Consider the following 11,200-nt stretch of genomic DNA (forward strand, 5'->3'; position numbering starts at 1 on the left):
AGTTGAAAGCAGTCAGCTGGCCGTGGTGACCATGCAAGCCTCACCCTCCACACTTCTCCAGATGCTCACTTGCCTAAACACCATTTCTTCCCTATGTTCCTCACCTCTATACTCTTTCTCTCACAGATGCTAAAAACCTTATGAAGTTTATCAAAAGCTGATACTACATCTTTGCAGCCCTGGGTTAGATATTGACAAAATTAAATTAAATATGTTTCGATTTATAAATGATTATAGATGACTGAAAGAATCAAATTTTTTTTTTTTAGTTAAATTACTCCTTTGAAGAAGTTAATGCAAACCTTATAATACCAGGCTTGCAAAACAGATAAAAGAATAAGTATCTCCATAGATTGCCTAAGGTAAAATGACCAGGTCATGTTTCTGTGTGACTTTCATACAACATCCCGAAAGCTCTTAAGTTTTTATTTCCTGTGATTGAAATGATCAGCACTTGATAAAGGAAACACACTTTGAGTCTAATGGTGCTGATATCGCTCTTCCTGGAGTTAACTATAAAAGCCAACCACTAAGAAGCCACAGACTGAAACTTGCCCTCAATAAAAAAATAACAATAAAAGCAACAAAAATTAAACTTTCTTCAAGAGCCCTGGAAATCTTTTTAAAAATACTGAAATGGAGCAATGGAGCAAAGTAAGAGATTACTTTGGAAGTCTCCTGCCCTCTTTTTTATTTATTTTTACTTTTATGGAACTTTGTATCCTTCCTTGTTCTTCCAATTACGTAGCAATAAATTAAAATGTTCCCCTTGTTAAAAATTTAATCAGACTGTAACTGACTGATATAAGCACATCTACATTTCTGTGTTCACTGTATTTTACAAATAGCAATAAAGATATCTTTGAAGTTAGAAATCGAGAAACTATTTTGCTTACTTAAATTTGTAAGATTACTGATGGAAAATTTTTTTTGCTTGTTTCTTGAGACAGAGTCTTGCTCTGTCTCCCAGCCTGGAGTACAGTGGCACGATCTCGGCTCACTGCAACGTCCACCTCCTGGATTCAAGTGATTCTATCACCTCAGCTTTCCTAGTAGCTGGGATTACAGGCACCCACCAACACACTCAGCTAATTTTTGTATTTTTAGTAGAGACAGAGTTTCACCATGTTGACAAGGCTGGTCTCGAACTCCTAGCCTCAAGTGATCCAACTGCCTCGGCCTCCCAAAGTGCTGGGATTATAGGCATGAACCACCACACCTGGCAAAGTTTTGAATCATAGCTTACTTTCTGTTTAATGCTGTTTCTAATAATTTGATGGTAGTTATGTAGAAAAAAGAGAATTAACTTTCCTTTCAGTAATTTGATTCTTTCAACAGAGATTATTATGATTTATAATTGGCATATCTTCACATGGAAACCCAGTGCTTCTCCCTTTTCCATTTTTGAAGGAAAGACTGTTGCCTTTGGTTTCACACAGTGACACACCCGTGTCTACTACCTGTCGTCATCATGACTCTGAATTAGGGATGGCAAAGTCCTCCACATTTGAATTGATGAGATAGAGATGCAGATGATTTGCACAGGGCTAAGTAGCTAATTAGCAATAGTGATGGGATGAAAACTAAGCATAGTGCCTTCATTGCGTTCATAATTTCCCTACTCGGAAGTCCATTATGCTTTGGCTTCTCAGAGGATACAGCAGCTCTGGCGTGAGGGAGATACCTGTTTGCTAGCAAAACAAATATTCATTGTAATAACATAATAAATAGTAAAATAATTTTCACATTTTACAGTGTGGGCATTGATTTGAAATGTAAGAATACCTAAATAAAACAAAATAACACTTTCATTGCATTAAAAGTAGCATGCATGGATAGGATTGATTGCTATAAATATGATCAAATTTAGTAGTTGACACAGAAATGAAGACAGCATGTTTAAACTTCCAGAAGATTAATCAGAGCAGTGTTCAGATGGAGGTAGAGCTGGTGAGTGCTTGAGTGGAGGGATGCCTTAAAGAGGCTCAGCCAGCTCCTCTGTCCGAAGTCTTACGCAGTTCCTTCTGATCACACACCTAACAGATAGTTATGCAGACATCCTGAAAGACTCCATAACCTGAAAAAGTGACAAAGCTACTGGAAGACAAACTCAGGATCACAAACATGAGTTGTAATGTAATATATATTTTAACCATGCTTATTTAACTTAGACCAATAATATAAGGTAGCTTTATGTGAATCGGCATGATTTCTTATTTGATTTTGCTTAAGTGTATAAAAAGATCATCACTCAAATTGAGAAGATTTTTATTCTTTACTATTATTTCAAATAATAATTCAGAATTATTCTTCAGTTTGTAGGTCAGAAATCTTCCCTGTAGTTATCTGGTTATCTGTAACCTGTAAACCATATGACTACATCCTAAATCATGTCATGGATTTTTTTTTCTTTTTTTTTTTTTTACATTTGGCTTGGAAGATCTTTTTTTCTTTTTCCATAGTCTGTGTTCAGGCATTTCTAAAATGAAGATGTTTGAACATTTTTAAAATGTATATCTTATATGCTTCCTAAAGGGCTTCTTGACTATCAAACAATGCAATATTGCTTAAGACAATGCGTGTGAAATCCTGAGACATTTTCCTCCTTGCTGGATACATTTACTTTCCATGTTTTCAGTCCATCATAGCAGTGTTTACTGAGTGCTTGCTAAGTGAAAGGCACTCTAGGAGCTGTGGGAGAATACAGTGATACATCAGGGAAAATTCCTGTCCTCAAAGAGCTCTTGCTTGACATGAAAATTCCGTGAGTGCTATTGTGTAAATTGACGTTCAAGTTTAGAAGAGGAAGAGATGACTTCTGGCTCTGGTGACCTGTGAAGTCTTCATCAAGGAAGAAACATTTAAATTAGGAATGGCAAGTTTTCAACTCCCACACTAAGAGGTGACAGTGAATTGTCTTAATCATGTTACACTCTCTGTACTTAGCACAATGTCTTGCAATGTAGCACATACTGAACAATTATTTCTGAAATGAGTGAAAGAATGAATAAGTGAATAAACATAAAAGTGTGTATTGAAAAAAGAGGAAGTAACAGAGCTCAAAAGGATTCTGGTTTTCTAAAGCATTGATATCTTCACCGTTGCCTAAAGAGCAAAATAATTTATAAAATGAAACAACCATGTGCTACATGGACTCTGACTTTTGTATGTACTTTTTGTGTTTTTTTTTCAGTGAGTCAAAAAGGATTAAAACTTGTCTTCCATTCTTAAAAATTTTCAGTGACAAAGAGTTTTCCTACTCAGAGAACTGAAATCATAGTGTGATACTTTCATTCATTCATTGCTTAGCAAGTAATAACTCATTAGCCGGCACTAGCTTTGTCTTTGGTTATATAATACACAGATTAAACACAGCTGCTTACTTCTTAGAGCTTGAGTCTAGCAGGGGAGACAGACAAACACAACCAAAGCATAACAATTATGACAATAGCAAAACTTAGTCCTAGACACTCTGGAAAAATAAAACGAAAGGAAAACTACACAATCCTTGGAAATAATAGAAAAAGTTTTTAAGAAGTGTAAAATGTACAGAGATTCAAATTATAAGTAGATATTAAATTGTTAAAAGTCAATAAAGGAATTCTAAGCAGAAAGGCTATTATGTACGAAGTCTCAGTTATAACACAGAGTAAAGGAATTGAAGACAGGATAGGGAGTTTAGGAAGATGGCATTAGGGAAAATGAGGTTTTGAGAATCATGTTATCCTCAGCAATTCTACTCGAAATTGAAAGTGAAATAAAACTTCATATTAATAACATTAAGTATGTATTATTTTGCTTTAAAGCAGAAACTGGTAGATTTTTTGTAAAGATCCAGATAGTAAATATTTTAGGCTTTCCTCGTCACCTACGATCTGAACTGCATTTCTTCTTTATCATTTTATTGCTGTTTGTATGTTTTACAACCCTTAAAAACATGAAAACCATCTTACCTCCCAGAAAAAACAGGCTAAGAGCTGATTTGGTTTACAGAAAGCAGGGTTGTGAGTCCTGCTTTTAGAGGATCTTAGCTATACGGTGTTTCTAAAATGCTGGGGTTTTCATTACGTGCTTCTAGCCCTTGCCTCCCTCCCTCCTTTCTCTCCCTCCATCCTTTCCTGCCCCTTGGTCTTGGAACATACACGGTTCCTCACGCCATATGTGATCATTGCTTTGCCTGAGCTACTACAACTAATGACCACAATATTTTCTCCTTGTTTATACATTCGAGCATACTTAATTTTTATATGAATATTTTTTGCAAAAGTAACAATGTTCATCTTGATACTTTGTGATTTAACTCCCCAAATCATGAGGAGGTCCTGGAAATTCTCTGTTGCCTTCTACGATGCTGTCCCCGTCTTCCTGGTTTCATTTTTGCCCTAAGGAAGGCGCTTGGCCAATTTCTATCTTCCATTGCTCCTCTGTCACCAGGATACCTAATCTCATAAACCCAATGAACACGTCTTTGTATTCCCCAATTTTTTGTAGTCCTTCCCGCTTTCTCAAGTGTTAGCTTATGACTAAATAAATGAGTGACAGAAGTTGTTAACCATATAAGCTTGGGATTCTAACAGATCCCCAATATTACCTTCTAGTTACGTGACATGAATAAGTTGCTAAATCATTTCTGGCCTCCACCATCCCACGTATAAAATTGGGATAGTCATAGTGGACTTCTGGGTAAGTGATGGACTGAATTTCAGCTCCCAGGTGGAAGCACAGAGCTACCACAAGAAAGATAGATGAAAAAAGTAAGTCTGTGGGTAGAAGCTAAATAGCTTTTTTAAATCTTTAGCTTTACATTATAATGTAAAATCATAATGTCTGACTAGGCTAAACACTCACCCACATTAAATGCATATGAGCATATAAGTCAGGAAGAAATTAGACTAAGTGGGATTAAAGCGTTTTAATATCAAGAAATTATCTGGCAGAGGTAAAATATCTGCTTTCAATAACATTTAACAACATTAATATTAGATATGATAAACTGAAAATGAAATCTTTAGAGTGGTCACTGAAAAAATAAAGTGCATAAATGGTATGCTAAGAGAGGCAAAGTAAACATATTAAGAAACACTACAGCAATCAAAAAAAGTAGAAGAGAAAAGGAGAAACACAAAATATTTGTGACAAAAATCTACTCAACTATATCAGTAATTGCATAAAGCATAAATAAACTAGATAATTTAATGAAAAGACAATTTTAATTCAGTCAAAAAGAGCAACCCCACCCCCAAAGAAGCCCCTAACATGAGACAGATCTTAAAATATAGAACTCAGAATGCGAAAACTAAAGGAATGAATTAAGAGATGACATAAAATTATGCAATTTATAAGAGAAATACTTAAATGTAAACACATAGATTAAAAGTAAAGGAATATAGAAAGTATATCTTGCTACACTAACCAAAGGAAGTGGAAGTGATGTTAATGTCAGACAAAGCAGATTTCAGAACAAAAGAAATTATCGGGGAAAATGAGAAGCATTGTTTAATTATTTAGGAGTTAATTCTCTAAAAATACACAGTAACAGAACATTAAAATATGTCAGGAAAAAAAAACTGATAGAACTCCAAGGAGAAATAGACTAATCCATTGTTATAGTTGATGACTTCAACATTTCTCTATCAATAATTGATAAATTCAGCAGGCAGAAAATCAGTACGAATATGATTGACCTGAATGGCACTTACAGAAACAATGAGAGAATACATAATTTTCCCAAGCTGTCATGGGAAATCCGTATACTGAGCCACAGAATAAGTGTTAACAAATTTAGAGGAATAAAAATCATACAAAGTATGCTCTTAGCCCACGCGTGGAACTAAACTAGAAATCAGAATGAAAACATTTAAAAATACTCAAATACTGGAAGCACTGATGGAATACTTATAAAGAAGAAATGGATTGAAGAACAGCTCTCAAAAAAATTAAATATATATTTATATGTATAAAATGAATTAAAATGAAAATGTGACCTCAAGTTTTATGGAATACAATGAAAGCAGTGCTTGGAGGAAAATGTATAGCTTAAAGTTTGAGTCCATATATTATTTTTTAAAATTTAAAATCTATAAGCTTCTATCTTTGGAAACCAGAGAAAGAAAAACAATGCAAGCCTAATGCACAGAGAAAAATGTTAAAACAAAAATAAAAAATAAAGCAGAAATTAATGAAATTGAAATAAGAAATTAATCAATAAAATCAAAAGCTGATTTTTGAAGATCAAAAAACTCATGAACATTCAAGGAAATAATAAGAAAAAGATAAAAATTAATAATATCAGAAATAAAAGAGGGTTATCCCTACATTACTACCAGTGTTTCAAAAACATTAAAAATGTAATAATACATTATTATGAAAAACTATATGAACACCAATTTGATCATGTAAATCAAATGGACCAATAATTGAAATTTACAAACTATCAAAACTCACATCTAGAGCAATAGAAAATTAGAATAAGGCTATATTTATTAATGAAATTAAATCAATAAATAATAGCCTTCCAAAACAGGAAGCATGAGGCCCAGATGATTTCACTGGTGATTTCTACCAAATGAAAAGAAATGATATCAATTCTCTACAATGTCTTTCAAAAAAATGAAACACAGGGAATACTTTCCAACTCATTTTATGCAGCCAGTATTACCCTAGTACCAAAACAAAAAGCAAAAATATTACAAGAAAGAAAAACTACAAATGCATATCTATTATGAACATAGATACAAAAATCCTCAAATAATATTAACAAATAGAATACAATAATGTATAAAAATGATATAACCTAGTGGGATTTATTCCAGGTATTCTAAGCTGGTTCAACATTCAAAATTAATTAATGTAGTACATCAGATAAACAAGCTAAAGGAGAAAAATCATATGATCATATCAACAAATGCAAATAAAGCATTTGGTAAGTCCCACACTCATTCACAATAAAAATCTCTCAGCCAACTTAGAAAATGGCACCACATTGATAAAGAACATCTAAAAAACCTGCAGCTAATAACACACTTAAGATAAAAAAAAAATTCCATGTTTTCCTCTTTAGATTGCAAACAAGGCAAGGATGCCCCATCTCACCACTTCTATTTAGCATCATGCTGAAAATCCTAGTTAAAGCATGAAGACATGAAAAGGAAATGACAGGTACAAAGACTGGGAAGAAAGAGATAAAAATTCACTATAGTGACTATGGTTGCACGCTTATGTGATAAGGCCTTAAAGGAAAGGAAATATTCTCCGTAACAGTGTGGCTCCGTTCATTGAGGAGAGAGGGAAGTAACAGTGACTGAGAGGAGTATGTGAGGGCGTCTGGGCTGCTGGCAATACCACCTAATTTTAAATTGTATGTGGTTATATCAATATAACCACAGCAAAATGATCTTTGTTCACAAGTATCAAATCCCAAAGAATCAATATAAACTTGAGGAACAAACAAGTGATCATACCAATATTGCAGGATACAAGTTTAATATATAAAACTCAATTGCTTTTCTATTTAACAGTAATTAACAATTGGAACTGGAAATTAAAACAAAATAGCATTAATGTTGTCACCAAAAAAGTTGAAATAGGTCAATTCTAACAAAATATATACAGGATCAATATGAGGAAAACTACAAAACTCTGAGGAAATAAATCAAGGATCTAAATAAATGAGAGATACTTTGTGTCCATGGAGTTGGAAGACTCAGTATTAAGAGGATAATTCTGCCCAACTTGATCTATAGATTCAGTGCAATTCCAATCAAAATCCCAGCACATCCTTTTATGGTTATTAGCAAACTGATTATAAAGTTTAGGTGGAAAAGCAAGAAAACCAGAATAGCCAATATAATACTGAAGAAGAACAAAATTAGAGGACTGACCCAACCTAACTTGAAGACTTAAAGCTACAGTACTCAACACAAAAGAAAAAACAAACACCAGTGGAAATGAATAGAGAACCCAGAAGTAGACCCTCACAAATATAGTTAAATCATACTTGCACAAAAGCAAGAATCAAAGGTACTTCAATAGAGAAAGCATAGTCTTTTTAACAAATGGTACTGGAACAATTAGACATGCTCATGCCCCCCCACCCAAAAAAAAAGAAAAGAAAAAATCTCTAGACAGACTTTGCACCTTTCACAAAATTCCACTCAAAATGAATCAGAGACTTAAAATCCAAGATTCTAAAACATATAGTTTTAAATATTAAATTGTATTCATACATGGGACAATGGGATTTAAACTTCAATGAAATCAACAAGCCATAGGTATGTGAATCAACATGAATAAATTTCCCAAATACATTGTTCATTTAAAAAAGCAATACAAGGCCTGGCGTGGTGGTACATGCCTGTAATGCCAGCACTTTGAGAGGCCAAGGCGGGCAGATTGCTTGAGCTCAGGAGTTCGGGAACAGCCTGGGCAAAATGATGAAACCCCATCTTTACAAAAAGTACGAAAATTAGTCCAGCATAGTGGCACTTGCCTGTGTTCCCAGCTACTCAAGACTGAGGTGGGAAGATCCCTTGAACCCAGGAGGTCCAGGCTGCAGTGAGTCAAAATCACACGACTGCAGTTCAACCTGGTTGACAGAGTGAGACCCTGTTTCCAAAAAAAAAAAAAAAAAGCAAAAACACAAAAGCAATACATAAAATATGTTTTATGATTGTATGTATATCATGGTTTCATATAACATGATTTCAAATACAGAGAAAAATAGGGTTTACAAAATGGAAGAAGTAAACTGTAGTGTCTATGGCTGCATGCTTACGTGATAAAGGAAAGGAAAAAAATTTCCATAACGGTGTGGCTCCTTACACTGAGGAGACAGGGAAGTGATAATGACTAAGAGAAGCAAATGAGAGCTTCTGGGCTTCTGGCAGTATCATCTCATTTTAAACTGCATGTGGTTATACCAATATTCACCTTACGATAATACTTATACCAACTTTCCGTCTTTATTTTATGCACTATTTCTGTGTAGGTATAATTTATAATAAAAATTCTAAAGTGAAAATTAAGAAACCTAAAGAAGATTGTGGGTGTCCGTGAGTGTGGAGGGATTTTAACGAGTTCCAAAGCCCTTGTCTTATCAGAAAAAAAGATAAAAACTATTAACTTCAGACACTAATAGCAAAATTTAAAATACGTATGTTAAAAATTAAATAAAACAAAACTTCTAACTTGCAAAACAATGGGAAACAAAAGGTAAGAAAGAGAATGTGGTCAAACAGACACTAGGAACGAGATTACAACAGTAACTCTCAGAAAGATTGCAGAAGGACTAAATGCAAGTATTCACATGTGGCAGAAACTGCTACATTTCCCCAAAGTCCTTTTTCCCCAGGATAGGATTTTTACATGACTTCTCAGCACCCAGAATACAAACATGTTTCAGCCTCTCATGAAGCTAAGTGTGGCCATGAAACTAAGTTCTTGTCAGTTGGATATAAGTAGAAGTTTTGAATTGCAGCTTCCGAGAACTTTTTTTTAGTAAGGAGCTACAAGAGTGCTTTTATTGAAATGTTTAATAACAGTTAAATCTTGCCCCAGGAAGGCAGGCTGTGTTAAAAATCAGGCACAGAGTTTGATTATAAAAGTGGCATTAAATACAAAAGAGATTGATTCACGGCTTCATCAAGACCCTAATTAAAAGCCTTCTTCCGTTTTCTTTAAGCCTTCCTGTGTTGCACTGCTTGCACAAAAAACATAAGGTCCTGTATCTCGATCATGGATGGTGAAGCTGAAGACCATCAACAGAGGAACATGTAAATGAAAGCTAATGAAAGCCAAAAGCTCTGAGTCCCTGAGGCTCTCCTGAATAATGGCCACCACAGCAGGCCTTGACTGAATGCCTCTGGACTTCTATCTAGTTTATCACTATTATTTTAGGTCTCTATCATCTACAGAAAAACTTAATACTAAATAAAAAAACTGCAAGAAAAGTTTAGTATTTTTGAAGTAGCCTGTGCTAGTTTCAGACATGTCTTATACCCCACTTCTAATCTCTTAACTCTGTCTCGAGTTACTCCCAAAGCTTCAACTGCAGACCTTCACTGTCTTTGCACAGAATGTAACCAGAGAGTGTCTAAGTCTGAGAGCCCTTGCTGCACAGTGATATCTACCTGCCTGGTCTTCTCTGATCTTGCAGCATGATCTGCAACTCAGAAACAGTCATCTTTACCCAACTGGAGTGGGAGCCATTAGATACTGTTTCTTATCTTTCCTTGTGTGGACAGTTCTGAGATATTTCATTAAACTTATCCGAAGCTCGCATAAATCTGAGTCCCGTTTCCCTAAGGTGATAGCACACTCCACATGCATCCTGGTCTTGTCTTTCTCTTCTTCCCTGAGTGACTCACAGTGCCTCTCTTCCCTGCTGGATGGGATCACTTCTCAAATAACCTGACTCCACAGATGTCTTTGACATGATTTCCGCCCATTTCAGCCCCATGCTGTGCTCCTCTCTCTTCCTGCCTCAGGGCTTCCAATGCCCTGAGGAAGATGACTCATTCGGGAAAACCCACCAAGGCTGCTGGATAATAAAAGATGCAGGACCTGGAAGTGCAGGGGAGTTAATGCCTTGTACCACCCTTGACCAAGGGGAATGGAAGATAAGGAATAGATGTTTTCACTTCTTTTCTTTTGAACCATTCTGAGGTTTATTTCCTAAATCTGCTAAGAATGTCCCACAGAATTGAGGGTCATTGCCTGTATTATGGACTGACTTGATAACACATCCTTGTGTTGTTTTTCCTTCTTCCATCTTTCACTTTCGGTCCATCTCTTATCTCCTGGGACCACTCTCTAAGCAAACCACCTGCCTGCACGTACTATTATACATCAAGTTCTGTTTACAGGAGAACCCGCAGAAAGTCAGTGTTCGGTGAGTGTGGGCTTGTTATTATTATTATTATTTATATATATACACTTGAATATTCCATCATTAATAATTTTTATGAAATTGAAAAATGATACTTATCGACATTTTACATAGTGCCAACTCCTAGTCCTACCGTTGTGGGGTACAAATGATCCCAAATATTTAAAAAATTATCTATGCTTCCAACTTGGAAGTCACTGTTGAAATTTCTCTGAACTCATCTTAGCATGTCCAATTACTTGATCTCGTCAATTTTTTACTCATGTAGCATAATCAATCTTTTACTTGCTAGTCAGGTTGCCACCTCCATTGTCA

General features: G+C 35.1%; 1 annotated feature.

Moving 5' to 3' along the window:
* Nucleotides 9,777-10,976: an enhancer, noted in NCBI's record as "CDK7 strongly-dependent group 2 enhancer chr2:5390152-5391351 (GRCh37/hg19 assembly coordinates)". NCBI's record gives its function as "activates an origin of replication core promoter dependent on BRD2, BRD4, P300/CBP, MED14 and CDK7 cofactors, with strong dependence on CDK7, by STARR-seq in HCT116 cells {active_cell/tissue: HCT116}" and the evidence as "EXISTENCE:reporter gene assay evidence [ECO:0000049][PMID:35650434]".

The sequence above is a fragment of the Homo sapiens genome, chromosome 2 (assembly GCF_000001405.40).
Source record: "Homo sapiens chromosome 2, GRCh38.p14 Primary Assembly".
Classification (NCBI taxonomy): Eukaryota; Metazoa; Chordata; class Mammalia; order Primates; family Hominidae; genus Homo; species Homo sapiens.